At 38.8% G+C, this 16,351-nt stretch overlaps 1 protein-coding gene across 1 annotated transcript in view, besides 2 other annotated features; it reads right to left on the reverse strand.

The window, feature by feature from the left end:
* HEATR1 (HEAT repeat containing 1) overlaps positions 1-15,476 on the reverse strand; it is a 55,512-nt gene extending 40,036 nt beyond the window's left edge. Inside the window, exons 1-12 of the mRNA NM_018072.6 lie at positions 15,382-15,476; positions 14,914-15,087; positions 14,120-14,336; positions 10,443-10,584; positions 8,838-8,939; positions 7,796-7,936; positions 6,793-7,004; positions 6,500-6,633; positions 4,972-5,074; positions 3,483-3,593; positions 2,953-3,070; positions 1,807-1,914 (exon numbers count right to left, since the gene is read on the reverse strand). Coding sequence (NP_060542.4) covers positions 1,807-1,914; positions 2,953-3,070; positions 3,483-3,593; positions 4,972-5,074; positions 6,500-6,633; positions 6,793-7,004; positions 7,796-7,936; positions 8,838-8,939; positions 10,443-10,584; positions 14,120-14,336; positions 14,914-15,055 — 1,530 coding nt within the window. The 5' untranslated portion in view covers positions 15,056-15,087; positions 15,382-15,476. The remainder of the gene's footprint in view (positions 1-1,806; positions 1,915-2,952; positions 3,071-3,482; positions 3,594-4,971; positions 5,075-6,499; positions 6,634-6,792; positions 7,005-7,795; positions 7,937-8,837; positions 8,940-10,442; positions 10,585-14,119; positions 14,337-14,913; positions 15,088-15,381) is intronic.
* Positions 9,735-9,935: a silencer, noted in NCBI's record as "peak786 fragment used in MPRA reporter construct". NCBI's record gives its function as "represses an SCP1 promoter by STARR-seq MPRAs in K562 erythroleukemia cells {active_cell/tissue: K562}" and the evidence as "EXISTENCE:reporter gene assay evidence [ECO:0000049][PMID:32103011]".
* Positions 15,417-15,676: an enhancer, noted in NCBI's record as "active region_2825". NCBI's record gives its function as "activates an Ori minimal core promoter by ATAC-STARR-seq in GM12878 lymphoblastoid cells {active_cell/tissue: GM12878}" and the evidence as "EXISTENCE:reporter gene assay evidence [ECO:0000049][PMID:35858748]".

The raw sequence follows: 16,351 nt of genomic DNA on the forward strand, positions 1-16,351 counted from the left end.
AAACATGGTATGCAAAGGAGGACATCAACTGCAATTACAATCCTCAAGCCTGTAAGTTGAATGTATGCAGGGCCGGCCCTTCACCGAAAAACGAACCAAACCCAGAGAACAGGAGAGAAAGGCAGTAAAAGAAGGAAGGATGAGAATAACTTCAGAAACAGAAGATTCCAGGACTCCCCTTTATTCTAGAAGAATTTCTTATCACTGAAATCCTCCTATCACAACAAAGACTATTATTCAATGAATTTATTTAACATATCGACAAAATAAACCTATTGGCAGTTTACAAAAGCAGAATTCATGTCAGATCAAATAAAGCAACATTTCTCAAACCTGAATATTACATCAGTCACTTTCAAAGAAACATTCTCAAAGATCTAAATGTTGTTTGTTGTTTATATATCAACTTAAAATTAAGTATAACTCCTTCTTAAAATATAGATGACATAAAACAAAAATTTTTTTTTAAATCTACAAGGGAAATACTAAAAACTCTATAAAACCAATAAAATTCAAATGAAGATGAACTTAGTGTGATTAGTTGTAATTAGCTGAAATTAAATTTTACTGATCATATGATTTTACTTGTAGTAAGAATCTGCTTCTAATTGCTATGACACAAGTTCTAGAGTTCGGCACGTTTACACTGCCATGTGCTACAAGGAAACTAAACTCTGTTAACCGCTTTACTCTGTTCCAGAAATTTCTCAAATATGCAAATCACGGTGCATAATTTTAGATATGACACAGATGGAGCATTCCTATTTTAATTATAGTAACTATAGTAAAATGCATATACAATTAGCACCTCACACCCACAATTTGAAGGCTATGTAAAAAAATAATGAGTCCATCTGAAATAAAGAAAAATTGTGAGAAAATAATACTACTATCAGTGGTAATTTGTAATTTAGCAAAAATTGTACAGGGACTGCTTGAATGACTAAAGTTTGGAAACTACTATTCTATGTGCATCATTACCAAGTCTTCATACCAATGCCTTTTGGTATAAATGCAAATTAGACCAAATTATTTACAAATAAAGTCAGCCTCAATACATATTTGAAACCACTAACATTTTAAAGACAAACGAAACTGCAGGCACCAAAATCATGGAACAGTGTTCAAAAGTTATCATTCAAATGTCCCAAAATATGTCTTCATCTAAAATTAAGACTATCAAAATCAAATTTCTCGGTTTTTTTTTGAAAGAGTCTTGCCCTGTCACCCAGGCTGGAGAGCAGTGGCGTGATCATGGCTCGCTGCAGCCTCAACCTCTCACACCCAAGAGATCCTCCTACCTCAGCCTCTCAAGTAGCTGGGACCAAAGCGTGTGCCACCAAACTTGGCTAATTTTTTATTTTTTGAACTTTTTTATAGAGAAGGGGGTCTCCCTATGTTGCCCAGGTTGGTCTCAAACGTTTGGGCTCAAGTGATCCTTCTCACAGAGTGCTGGGATTATAGGCATGAGCTGCTGTGACCGGCCCAAAATCAAATTTCAAAACTAAAAAAATTCTCAGATAATTAATGAACCTACGTGAATTAATCTACAAATTCCAGTTTGAAAAACACTAAAGATAAACAACTGTCAATGTGGAAACATAAAAGTAGTTGTTATTAGGTTATTGTTAAAATGGGGACAACTGGCATACACAGTCCTAAATATTAGTCTAAGGTACTCTCATGAGGTTTATTCAACTCATCTGTATCATTACCCACTTAGGTGGTAACTTCAATTTCTTATTCAGAATTACACTGCTCATCATAAGAAAAAAAAACCATATAAAAAAGCGATCTGAAACAAACCTTTGATGTTTTCATGATCTTTTTCAAATGATTCATGGCCAGAATTCTCACAGGAGCAAGTGGATGATTCAGGCTGAGCATCAAAGAAGTATCAGAATCTGCTAAAAACTACAGGGTTCAACATAGTTATCAAATGATTTCACTTAATCTGAACAGTCTATGATCAAGAATAAAACCCAGAGAAAACCACCCCAAATTGCCCAACATTTTCAGTAACAACCATCTAACTACAGAAAACAAACAAAAAAATGCAAAATCTTTGTTTCTAGAACATCACATGAGTTGATGAAAAAATTTGTATTGTTAATGGTATGATTTCATGTATACTTGTGTCTATGTGTAGGTTTAATTTAGTCAAGTAATTCTACAAAGTAATTTTGTATTTTGTATGCGTATCTGATAAATCACCTAAGATAAATCCCTGTTTTAGCACCTTCCAGAAGACAGAATGCAACTCATCTACATGATATAACAAATAGTGACACTCAAATTCGTGACAACTTAGTTCACTTACGCAATTAGACTAAAAAGAAAGTCTTATCCATCAACCTAAGATTTGGAAATGCAACACCATTAAAAATGAAAGTCTAATTATGGAAGAGAAATACTAAAACAATCATATTTCTCTTCATAATTATCTGTTTTTAAGGCTAAATATAAGAACTCCTGCTTAAATGTCTAACCTCTAGTATAAAGCTTTAGGCTTGAATCACCAGAAAATTTCTCAAGTTTTAATGTGATCATGAAATAGAACCCATCTCCCCCTTGCTAATCAATAATATAAATAGCCATCTGTGGCTGGTACACTGGAAAGCATAGACCTAGATGAAAGACAGAGAATGCTAGAAACCTACATGAGGCCGTCCTCTGATGATTCTTAATGAATATCCCATACAAAATTCTCAAACAATACTTTTCCTGAAATAAGTATCACGTTCATAGTTATGTACAAATTATTGTACCTTTCTCCAATTATTCTATTCCTGCCTCAGAGCCGTACTTCAGGCAACTAGGCAAACTGTAGAAGGTTATCTCTGTAAAATTTTCCACACAAGGGAAAAAAGTGGCAAATTTCCTTCTGGAGCTCTTCACATACCCATACAAATGTACCCCAAATTGTCATAATTCCTTTGGAGAACAACATACCTGATACTTTCCTCCACTTGTAGAAAGAGAAACAAACTGATGGAAAAGCTCTTGTTTTTTCAGATCTGCAATTTCCTTTAAGTGTTCCTCTAATACAACATCTAATGTTCTGGGGTATCTGGGAAGCAATTAAAAAGTGAATTCATTATTCTTAATAAATTTATTAATCTCATACACCATACACATATAAAGGAAAGACATAAAATCTTAAAAATTACTGAGACTGTGACTTAAATTTTAACAAATGTTGTAGGTAAAACCAAATGACATTGGTCAAGTGTGTTACTATGACTACTCCAATAACAAAATAGTCTCTCTATAAAAAATTATACTCTCCATAGCCCCCACACAACCACTATTTCCTCTTATATTTCAAATATTTTTGATTCCGATACTCGCCCCTTCTTGAAGAACAAATTTAAAAAGGACAGTCTCTGTACAATTCAGTATATTAAGATGTGACTTGTGAATCATATCTTTATAGAACAGGAAGTACTTTAGAAGAGCATAAACATACACACGTAACTTACTTGCTTTCTAAAAGCCTAATGAGTGGAAGAAATTGTTCATTAAGCAAAGACACTTTATTAGAATCCATTTCTTCCTGTGAACTATATGAAATATACTCTTCAAATAGAAGGCTGTAAAAAAAAAAACAGAAATATCAGCATACATAAGAGTTACTATTTATTGAGTACCTACTATATTCTAAGTGCTTTAGAAATATTATCTCTAATTGTCATACTTATACAAGGTATAGTTTAATACTTATTTTACAGATAAAGAAACTAGAGGCCTGGTGTAGTGGTTCACACCACTGGCATTATAATCCCAGCACTTTCGGAGGCCGGGGCAGGAGAACTGCTTAAGGTCAGGAGTTCGAGACCTGTCTGAACAACATAGTAAGACTACATTGCTATTTTAAATGGTGCTGGCTCACGCCTGTAATCCCAGTACTTTGGGAGGCCAAGGTGGGCGGATCACCTGAGGACAGGAGTTCGAGATCAGCCTGACCAACATGGTGAAACCTTGTCTCTACTAAATATACAAAATTAGCTGGGCATGGTGGCACATGCCTGTAATCCCAGCTACCAGGGAGGCTGAGGCAGGAGAATCGCTTGAACCTGGGAGGCGGAGGTTGCAGTGAGCCGAGATTGTGCCATTGCACTCCAGCCTGGGCAATAAGAGCGAAACTCCATCTTAAAGAAAAAAAAAAAAGGAAAAGAAACTAGAGTGTAAGTCTTCCAATTTGCTCATGAGAACAGCAATAAAAGGCAACATTCAGTAAGCCCTTCTGTGCCACAGAGTGGGGTTTCACATTTTAAGCCCCAGTCTGATTCTAGAGCCTATGTTCTCAACATTACTACACGTGTATACTCTCCTTTAATTCACAAACCAACCCTCTGAGCAAAGGGGCATGAATGATGCACACCAACACACAGGCACTCTCTTGATCCTACAAAATGGCAAAGCTACATCCAGACTAACCTCCAAAACTTACTATAGCCCTGGAAGTGGTAGGCGCAGAATTTACACCTATGTCTGACCACAACGCCTACATCTTTTCACTGTATCGAGTTGCCCATTAAGAGAAAAAAAAAAAAAAAAAAAAAAAGACTGAATTATCTTTAAAGAAATAATCCTTACTCTATGCTTACCTTCAATATTGTTTCTAAATGACATTTACTGCGTTTTAATTGTGATGTGTTATTTCAGATATTATGGTCCATTTACTAAGAGAAAACTTCAAACGGCCACAAACTGCATTTAGTTATTACCCAAATTTGTCTTAACCACTAACTTTCCATTTTCATCTATAAGCACTAAAGACATGCAAGAAAAATTACTTTTGCTTTTAATGCTGCCAGTTACTGGATTAAGTACTTATAGTTAATGAAATGATACAGACAAAACAAGATATACATTAAAAAGGAATGCTGGGAAATTTCTAACCAATCTTGAAAATTATACTGAGTCACAAAAATGTAAATCAAAAGCATGTCAAAAATAATAGCTTACCTAGCCAACAAATGGTCTAAGTTGTTCTTCAGTGATATTTTTGTAAGTATAGCTTCTAAGTGTCTCTTGTAGATTTGACCATCCATTCCTTCAGTTTCTTCTCCTTAATATGTAAAAATTAAAATTGTGTTGGGAAAAATTTATTTTGCAAGCTAACATTATTAAATTCACTTATAGCAGAAAATCGTTCTCAGAATAAAACACACACACTGATATCCAGCTTTTTATCTATTTGCACAAGTGCATTCCACTTATTTAGTCATTTATATTTTTTAAAGCTCTTTTGTATAGATCACCTTCATTTTTCTTTTATCTAAAATTCTCTATTTTTAACAAGTACTATCATGCTTATAACAATAACAAAACAAAAGTCCAAAATTAGTCTTTCCCCAGGTCACATTACAAATTAGTTGTGATGGTGCCAATCAACTATCTCTGAAAAGAGGTTAAACTTTTATCTCAGTACCCACCCCCTTACTGAACCAAAAGCTGTCATCTATTTCAGATTTATAATAAACATATGAATCTGATCTTAGCCCTTGCTTTCAAAGACTGGGACATTACTCATTACCTTCAGAATAGGAAGAATACATTTTCATTTTGCTAGTCACTTTTCTAAAATGCATGTTCAAACCAAGATTTGGTTACAAAAACCTCATTTTTCAGTAGACTGACATAAGTTTAGAGAAGTCTTTCTTAGTATTCTCCAAGTAGCAACAGAACCAAATGTTTCTTCCTAGCCTTTCTGTATTTATTAAAAGACATAATGCAAATAATCACTTTCTAATTATTATTATTATTTTTGAGATAGGGTCTCACTCTGTCGCCCAGGCTGAACTGCAGTGGCACAAACACAGTTCCCTGTAGCCTCGAACTCCCTGGACTCAGGTGATCCTCCCACCTCAGTCTCCCGAGCAGCTGGGACCACAGTTGCATGTCACCATGCCCGGTTAATTTTTGTATATTTTTGTAGAGACGGGGTTTTGCCATGATCTGCCCATCTCAGTTTCTCAAAGTGCTAGAATTATAGGTTTGAGCCACCTGGCCCTCTAATTATTACTTTTTGCTTTTTGCTTTGTTTCATAATTTGGATTTTTATGTATAAAAATTTTCTTGGTCTTATATTTTTAATTACTCTAGGGAAAAAACTTTTTTGGCAACTGGATGAGATATTCATTATAAATGAATCACTAAAGTTCATTAAATACCTAAATGAGAAGGCAAAGGTTTACTCAGTAATAAATTTTAAAAGTATTCCAGTCTTTTTCATGTAGAGACTATTTAAGTATTTAAGAACACAGATCTTAAAAAAAGTAAAATTCTAAGAAATTACTCAATTAACAATGATCTTTCTTCAACCAACCTGCTCCCCACCCCAGATGTTTCTCACTTAAGAAATAGACAAGTTACACAAGAACAACTGGAAAACAGAAATTTTAAATATTTTGAAGCTGTTAACCAGGATATGGTTACTATTTTAAGATCAAATCTTAGAAAATTTCTGGACAAAAAATATAAAACCACACACCTGTAACATGATGAATGATGGAGACGACCAGATGGGGAAGCATGTAATGCAGAAGAGGACTGACATCGTAAGTTTCAGAAATCCCATGAAGTATTGTAATAAGATCAGGAACATTACATAAGTGAGGGAATGGCCTTTGAAGAAGCAAAAGTACATATCGTGTTGACTTTACAAGTTAGACAATGAGTAACAATATAAGAAAATATATAATCACTTATCTTACAAAAAAAAATTATTCAAAATAATTTTATTCACCTCTGACTAGCACCATTTCTCAATTCAATTGTACATACTTTTTCCCAAGGCTCTCTGGCTTCTGTCTCTGCAGGAGCACTATCAAGCAACTTAACCCATCCTTGATCAAAGAGGGAATCTTGGTCAATGTTTTGATGATCTGTGATGCCAATGAATTCACAAAGGTATTTTCCATGGTCACTTTCACAGAAATCTGACATATTATCATGTATGTTGCAGCTCTGTAATCTGGTAAAGATGATTTCAATCCCTAAATATTTTTTAAATATAAGGAAAAATGATAAACCATATTATTTTCTGCTACTTTAAATGTTAATCTGACAAATTAGAAATGTCATAGAGATTAATACAACCTAATGCATAGTCAATCACTCTTCAGACATAAACAATAAAGGAGCTGACCCCTTTTTCAGAGTGGATACAGAGATGAGACAAGTCTGTTGAACGAGACAAAGGATCTCAGAAAATTTCCCAACTCAAACATCTACCACATGTCCTGACAGGAGCCAGTAAGCTCTTCTTTTATACATAAAATCCTACTTATAGTAGGGAGACCTCAATCAGATCACTAATGGAAGAAACAAGTCTGATGAAAGGTCACAAGTTGGGACACTGGTGGGAAGTGAAAGCAGTACCTCCACAGGGCACCTGGGAAGGCAGCAGGCAAGAAGGCACTTGGGAAGGAGAAACGCTGAGAGGCAGGAGCCAGTGCACAAAGAATACTGAGAGGTTGCTTACGCCTCAAAGAGACTGTCTGCTCCGTCCTCCTTCCAGTGAGGTACAAAGACTGCTATGGAAATCAATCTAGGAGATGGCCGCAGGACCAGACAGCCAATATTTATTCTTAAGAGTCCTAATTAAGGTCCCAGGCCAGTGAGTTTCTAATAAAAAAGTGTCATATTTTCAACCTAAAGGCTAAATCTCAGCTATCATCTGAAATAAACTGTCAATTTAAAAACACTTAAATCTAAAAAAACTTTCGAAAGCAAGAAAATTCCTTTAAGTACAAAATAATCTACTTAACACATCAGCAGTGCCAACCTTTTGGATATAGGGAAATAGTTTGGCGATGATATTGTCTGATACGTCCTCTGCAGCTACCAGCGCCGACACTATGGTAGAAGCATAGAAAGCCAAGAGCACCCTCAACTGAGCTGAGCTGCCCGGGTACTCAGCAAAAACCTGAAACAAGGAACACAAACAAAACACATTTAACAGTGAAAGGGAGGTAGAAGGATTGCTTGAGGCCAGGAGTTCAAGGCTGAGATTTCAATGAACTATGATGGCACCACTGTACTCTAGCCTGGGCGACAAAGCAAGTCCATGTCTCCAAAAAAAAAAAAAGTGAAAGGCCAAATAAATATTTACAGCTCTCCTGAATTACCATATGCAACAATGAATACACAATGTGACAACAATTAACTGCCTAATGATATTCCTAACATTTTTATTTAAAAAAAAATTTTTTTTTTTTTTTTTTGAGATGGAGTCTCTGTCGCCCAGGTTGCAGTACAGTGGCATGATCTTGGGTCACTGCAACCTCCGCCTCCCAGGTTCAAGCGATTTTCCTGCCTCAGCCTCCCGAGCAGCTGGAATTACAGGCATGCCCCACCATGCCCAGTTTATTTTCGTATTTTTAGTAGAGACGGTGTTTCACCATGTTGGCCAGGCTGGTCTCAAACTCCTGACTTCAAGTGATCCGCCTGCCTTGGCCTCCCAAAGTGTTGGGATTACAGGCGTGAGCCACCGCACCTGGCCTTAAAATTTTTTAAACAGCTTTCCCAGGTTGAATATTCCCGACATTTCTAGACACTCTCTTTGAATAGTCACTGTAACTAGAATCTGGCAAGGAATAGACATTTATTTTTGTAGAAAAACACCTTTGGTGATAAAAGACTGATTCTTAAAAAAAAAAAAAAAGATACGGACTCTCAAACTGCTCCTGCTTCAAAACACCAGACCATTTAACAAAATAAATTTATCCAAAGTATCATTGTTATTAGGGAATGTTTTAGTATGTTTTCTTCATTCAAAGCAAGCAATCTTTTCATAAAATTATATACTCATGAAACAGACTGCTCACCTTCACAGATTTTGTCACCAAACTGCAAATGAAATCCATGAATCCAAGATCTTTGTAGCAGTGGGTAATCAAAGTTCCTTTAGCTAACGGCACTCCAGATTGCTGTTATTGATGGAAAGAACAAACTACTAGCAACATTCATCAACTGATCCTTATTTTAAAGCATTTACCCTAGTAATGTCTTCATACTGCTACAATTCATAAATAAAAAATATAATCTCTCCTTATAACTGGTGGTGGTGATGAAATTAACACATAAAATCATGTAAACTTAGAAATTCAAAAGAGAAGGTCAGCAATGAGGGCAGAGGTATTTAGTGAAAGATGTTTGCTTATCGTATGTCACATTTTGAAAGGTATTTATCAAAATCTGGATTCTCTAGATTCTTAGTAACTTTACTGGTTCGATTTGGTTTCTGAGCCACTATGATACGCTTCTGTCATTGCTTTACAATAACACTAAGAACAGAAATAGACTAGGAAACTGCACAACTTATACCACTATTCCCACCATCTAGCGTTGTACATGGTATGTAATAGATGCTCCATAAATACTGATTAAATAAATGAAAGGAGAATTTTAAGTGAACTTTAGTAGGTGAGTGGAGTTTGGCTACCTGCAATAAGAGTGCCTAGGGAGCAGCAAGATCCAAGGTAGATTAGAGGAAGAATAATTTTGATGCTATGGGCAGAGTGAATGTTGGGAAGAGCAGTTAATGAGCTTTATCAAAGGCTGGCCTTCTCCAACATTCTTTAGTTCAAGTGCTTTACGTTCAGATTCTTAAATTCTCCTTCTAATTAAAAAGTCCTCATTACTCCTATCTTACTAATTCTGAACACTGACCCCACTACCATCATCAGCCTAATGTGCACAGCCTCGTGATCTGTTAGCTTACCTTCATCCCCATTTGCCTCCCCCCCTACCCTGGATCACCATGCCCAACATGCAGTCAAGTTCCTGCTAACAACATACATCTACTTTCCTCCACCATATGTTGCAAACAAAGTGCTAACGGTTAGTCAGTTGGTTTTCCTACAATAGCATGCTGTCTTTTCTTACCCAGACCCTTCCTGTTATACAAGCATCCTTTTCTTAGTCTGTAAATTAACTCCTAGCATCTTCCTCACAACTTTAGTAAATTCTTGAAACCCCTGAAGTTATCCTTATCCTTTTAATTTTTGTAAGTATTTTCTGCCTTTCTTCACCTTCAACTTTTTTTTAAGTTCTCAGTTCCAAATTTAAAATGCCAAACGGCATGGTACGATACAAAGGCACAGACTCTGGAATCAGATTTGGGTTCAAATCTCAACTCTGCCACTTTATAGTTATGTGAACTTTGGCAAGTAGCCTGTCCTCATCTGTAAAAATGAAGTTTTGTGATAATCCAAGATAATATAATGTACATTGCCTAGCCTGATGTCAGATACTAAATAAAAGCTAAATATTATTAACATTAATAATAGTTTCAATTGGAAGTCAGGAAATAAAAATGATGGAGGTAGTTATCTGGACTATCCCCAGGAGCAATGACTTATTTTTTCCTAATTAAATCCCTTAATCAAGATCTGTAATGATTACAGACATATGTCATTCAGCAATTATACCTTAACTGGCAACAACCAGAACCATCTGTGCTTTGAATTATTAATTTTTAGAAGCTGTATGACTCGCACAAATATTCTTGTCTCGTGGTATGGCAGAACACAAGCAATGAGGCTATCTTGATTATAGAGATGTATATGGAACCTGGGGAAAAAAAGCAAACAGTCCAACTGAACACAAAACTTAATAATAAGCACCTATTTCCTCACATGCCCAAACTGTATTATTAATAAGCTAAAACAACCTAGAACGAGTAGCAGTAAAAATCACAAAATTATAAGATACAGAGCATTTAAAAAGTCCCCAATTTTGCATTCACATATCCCTCAACATGGTCCAGCCAATTCCTATGCAATATCTTTGAATATTCTACATCAAAATATACATCCCATTAACTTTCTCTCAGCTTTACAATTTTTATTTAATTTTTTGAATAGAGTCTTGCTCTGCCACTCAGGCTGGAGTGCAGTGGCACGATCACGGGTCACTGCAGCCTCAACCTCCCAGGCTCAAATGATCCTCCCACCTAGGTCTCCTGAGTAGCTGGGACCACAGGGGAGCACCATCACAGCTGGCTAATTTTTTATTTCTGTGTAGAGACTAGGTCTCCCTGTGTTGCCCAGGCTGGTCTGTCAACATTTTTTTTTTTTTTTTTTTTTTTTTTTTTGAGAGGGAGTCTTGCTGTTGCCCAGGCTGGAGTGCAGTGGCACAATCTCGGCTCACTGCAACCTCCACCTCCAAGTTTAAAAGATTCTCCTGCCTCCGCCTCCCAAGTAGCTGGGACTACAAACTCATACCACCATGCCCAGCTAATTTTTTTTTTTTACTTTAGTAGAGATGGGGTTTCACCATGTTGCCCAGGCTGGTCTCCAACTCCTGAGCTCAGGCAATCTACCTGCCTCAGCCTCCCAAAGTGCTAGGACTACAGGTGTGAGCCACCATGCCTGGCTAAGATGTTTTTTCTAATTCTGCCAACTGATCCCTCTTCTGTGAAAACTCTCCTATCCTTTTACATCGTGTACTTTTTTTAAACAGTACCATACATTGCCTTTTATTAGATTTTTTTTTTTTTCCAGAGTCTACTTGGTCACCCAGGCTGGAGTGCAGTGGTGTGATCTCAGCTCACTGCAACCTTCGCCTCCCAAGTTCAAGCGATTCTCATGCCCTAGCCTCCCAAGTAGCTGGAATTACAGGTGCACAGCACCACACCCAGCTAATTTTTTTTTGTATTTCTAGTAGAGACAGGGATTCACCATGTTGGTCAGGCTCGTCTCAAACTCCTGATCTCAAGTGACTGGCCTGCCTCAGCCTCTCAAAGTGCTGGGATTACAGGCGTGAGCCACTGAACCCAGCCTCTTAGTTTGACATACGGTTTTAGCGGTTACTTTTTCCATGAAGCTTTCTTCAACTATTCCAGGCAGAACTATATCCACAAAACTCTGCTTAATCCTTTATTATGGCATTTATTTCAAAACAGTAATCAACGGCAACCTACTTATCTATGTACTGAACTTAGTATTTGCTGAATAAATAAGTTATCTGAAGACATAAAATGAAAAATCAAATGCAAAAAGTATTCCTTACATTAATGATCTATTTGGGGGTAAAGTTAGGTGCTAGAAAACAGATGGAAATATTACAGACTTTTAAATATTCTTTGTCTGATTGCCCTAATGTTCTGACAATCAGAAGACCCAAGTTAAAATCATGTTTTCTTGATGACTCACTTGCTTCTTGAAAAAAAATTAGTTTATCCCCACGTCTCCATTTTTTGTTTTTTTTTTTTGATACGGCGTCTCCCTGTTACCCAGGCTGGAGTGCAGTGGCGTGATCTCAGCTCACTGCAAAATCTGTCTCCTGGATTCAAGCAATTCTCCTGCCTCAGCCTCCCAAGTAGCTAGAATTACAAGTGCTCGCCACTGCGCCCAGCTAATTTTTGTATTTTTCACACAGACAGGTTTTACCATGCTGGCCAGGCTGGCCTTGAAGCCATGTCTCCAATTAATGGAATAGAAATCTACTTTTAAAACATGTAAGTTGGACTGGATGTGGTGGCTCATGCCTGTAACCCCAGCACTTTGGGAGGCCGACTCGGCAGGAGGATCGCTTGAGGCCAGGAGTTCCAGACCAGCCTGGGCAACAAAGTGAGACACTGTCTCTACAAAAAATGGAAAAACAAAAACAAAAACAAACAAACAAAAAAAAAACTAGGTGGGCATGGTGGTGCATGCCTGTAATCCCAGCTACTTGGGTGGCTGAGATCGGAGGATCATTTGAGCCCTGGAGATCGAGTGGGCCACGATCACACCACTGCACTCCAGCCTGGGTGAGTGAAATCCTGACACTCAATAAAATAAAAATAAAAAGACAGCCGTGTGCAGTGGCTGTGGTGGCTCACACCAGCACTTTGGGAGGCTAAGACGAGTGGATCACGAGGTCAGGAGTTTGAGACCAGCCTGGCCAACGTGATGAAACCCCATCTTTACTAAAAAAAAAAAAATACAAAAAATTAACTGGGCGTAGTGGTATGTGCCTGTAATCCCAGCTACTTGGGAGGCTGAGGCAGGAGAATTGCTTGAACCTGGGAGGTGGAGGTTGCAGTGAGATGAGATCGTGCCACTGCACTCCAGCCTGGGCGACAGTGCGAGACTGTCTCAAAAAAAAAAGACATACATATTGGGAGAATAAATAAAACAAAAATGTGTATGCTGTGATGTGACACCAATATGTGAGAAAATAAACTAAGCTTACTGAGACAATTCCCAAAGCAGATAAAAGATCAGACCTTGGAAATAAACTTCAGCTGTATCCTAGCTCTGCCACTTACTAGCTGTGTGACTCAAGAAACTTAATCCCTCTAAGCCTCAGTTTTCTCAACTGTAAAACAAGGATAATACAAATAATCTCACCAGAGGAATGCTGTGAGAATTAAATGAGATAATGCAGATAAAGTGCTTACCAGGGCCTAGTGTATAAATGCTCAAAAACACATTAGCTATCATTGTTTTTCTCAAGCAATGGTATTTCAGAGGATAACATTGCCTGCTTCCCCAACCATCTTGTTATTTTGCCAAGAAAGCAGCTTAGTACTCACTGCCTCAAGTGTGCAGGAACAAGCTGTAATGGCAAAGTAGCATGGGCTCTTCAGAACTAACGAGGTTAGGCTGGGCGAGGTGGCTCACACCTGTAATCCCAGTATTTTGGGAGGCCGAGGCGGGTGGATCACCTGAGGTCAGGGGTTAAAGACCAGCCTGGCTAACACGGTGAAACTCCATCTCTACAAAAACACAAAACTCATCCAGGCATTATGGCAGGTGCCTGTAATCCCAGCTACTTGGGAGGCTGAGGTGGGAGAATCACTTGAACCTGGGAGGCAGAGGTTGCAGTGAGCCAAGATTTCAATATTGCACTCCAGCCTGAGTGCCCAGCAAGACTCTATCTCAAAAAAAAACTAATGAGGTTAGACCATTTACTCAAAATCACCAGTAGTTCTACTTTTCACTATCAACAAAAAAGAATTTAAAGGCAGAAGAGCATGCTTATCTCACACAATGGACATTGTATCAATCTCTTAATATACCTAATTTTTCAGCTTTAATTTGATAAGTTCTCAACTACTTAATTTTTTACAAGACCAAAGTGATTAACCCATAGTTATTTCTGTAATTCTATTAGCTACCTGTGAATCAACCACTCCAGACACTTCTGTGCTGGCTTAAGCAGGAAGTAAGGCGACAAGTGAATAAGGAATAATGAAATGTTTTCATCCAACTGTTTGTTTACTGCTTTGGTCTGAACACTTCGCTCCAAGGTTTTTGCTAGCTGACTGAACAACGGTGCTTCAAACTGCTCAAAGGAAGGATCAATTCCAAGCAACTCTTCCAGGCCAGTACATCCTAAATTTCAAAAAAGGCCAGTTTATTTAACAATTCTTCGTAAGCAAATTCATCCCACCCCTCTTTTACAGTTTTACTTACCCCTAAGAAGTTTCTGAATTCTTTAAGTACATATAATTTATAATACAGTCCCAAACACTGATTTCTAGTTTTCAACTTTTAGAGTAAATCCTATCTCATCTACTAGAACAGAAAGTACTTCGTGGCAGGGAACACTTTTTTTTTTTTTTTTTTGGATATCCCCTACAATAACTAGGCCAGTCCTCTGAGAGGACTTCTCCGTCACCCCAGTCACTGCCTCCATCCCCCTTTTAGCTGTTCTTCTCTTTGACATATTAGTTGACCTCTCTAATTTTGTTTCTTCATCTGTGAAATCCAGATACCTCTACTCATAAACATTTCAAGCACCAAGCACCTGACTGTTATGTTCTCTTTCCCTTAAAAATATACATCAACATGCTAGAAACTGCTAAGGAAGAGGACGGGACAGAAGAGAAAACAAGGGGAAAAAAAAAAAACAGTAACATCCAGAAAACAAACGCTTCCAAGAGCTTTTCTAAGTTAAAAGATGGCTCACCAATGGCGAAGGCGGTGTCCCTGTCGATTGTGGCCGCTTCCTTAGGGTCAAATAACAAAGAAGCAACTTCATCTCTAGATAAGAGGCTGGCATCACTTTGAGGGAGGGCGAGTCGTTGCAGCTGCTGGGCTAAGGACGTCATCTTTCACGCCAGCGGAGTTTTAATGACACGGGCTAAAAAAACGTAAGCACTTTGATAAGTTTCTACGAAATTATAAGGCGCCTCGTAAACAAACAATTCTCTTCTGCACTCAGCACCGTCATGGACACACAACGCGGGTGTCCTGAGATTTGTGGACCCCGGAGATGCAAAGACGATGGCAGCAGCGTTAACAACTAATTACAGTAGCGGCGACCGCGCCAAGGCTTTCCTTCAACCCTGATTCCGCAGATATCCGGAAAACTCTTACCCTCCCTCGATATGCCGCCCCCATCCGCAGCCACATCAAGCGGCTCTGTGCCGCTTACCTGGAACTGGGAATTTGGGTATATCTTGGAAGGCAACAACTCTTCACAGCGCTTCCCACATGGTACCAAGGAGCCCAACCCTCACCCGGAAACCTAAGGCATGCTGTAGAGCAACTTCCTGCTGCAGGCGCTACGGCAAGTGAAGAGGTTCAAGCTTGCCGGGAATGCGACGAGACAGCTCCGCCTCCCGAGACGAAAGCCCGCCCCTCAGCCCGCCGGACTCAGGCTCAAGTCTGAGCTTCGCCTCTGTAGCTCCGGTTTAGCGGTCTGCTCTGCGGCTTGTGTCTGAAGCTTTCGGTCTCTGGATGGGCCTTCTGTGGGCTTTAAGGATCCGTAGCCAGAATCATTCATTCAGTAGTGATCCAGCCTTTACTAGGTGCCAGCAGCACCGCGTAGTGTTGAAAGCTATGGGTTGTGAAGTCACGTGGTTTGGGTTCAAATCCTGGCGCTGGCGCCTGTCGGCCGGGTTAACGCCACCAAATTATTTCATCTCTCCGAGCTTGTTACTCACTCTACAAAGTGGGAAGAGGCCGAGATTGTCGTGAAAGGAGCTTCTGCTCCTAGTGCAAACCGATCTATAAATGCTGGACTCCACCGCCCCAGAGCTTGGGGGAGATCTTGTCACTCCTCTATGTTTCCATTCCCGAGGGGTAAATGGCATATATTTTTTTCTTTCAAAACGAATCATAGTCAGGCGCGGCCTGTAATCCGAGCACTTTGGGAAGCTCAGGCGAGCTGATCACCTGAGGTCAGGAGTTCGGGACCAGCCTGGCCAACATAGCGAAACCCCGTCTCTACTAAAAATAAAAGAATTAGCCGGACGTGGTGGCGGGCGCCTGTAATCCCAGCTACTAGGAAAGCTGAGACAGAAGAATCGCTGGAACCCGGGAGTCGGAGGTTGCAGTGGGCCAAGATTGCACCACTGCACTCCACAGAGCGAGACTGTCTCAATAAATAAATTAATCGAATC

This window comes from Homo sapiens, chromosome 1, assembly GCF_000001405.40.
Source record: "Homo sapiens chromosome 1, GRCh38.p14 Primary Assembly".
In the NCBI taxonomy this organism is placed as follows: Eukaryota; Metazoa; Chordata; class Mammalia; order Primates; family Hominidae; genus Homo; species Homo sapiens.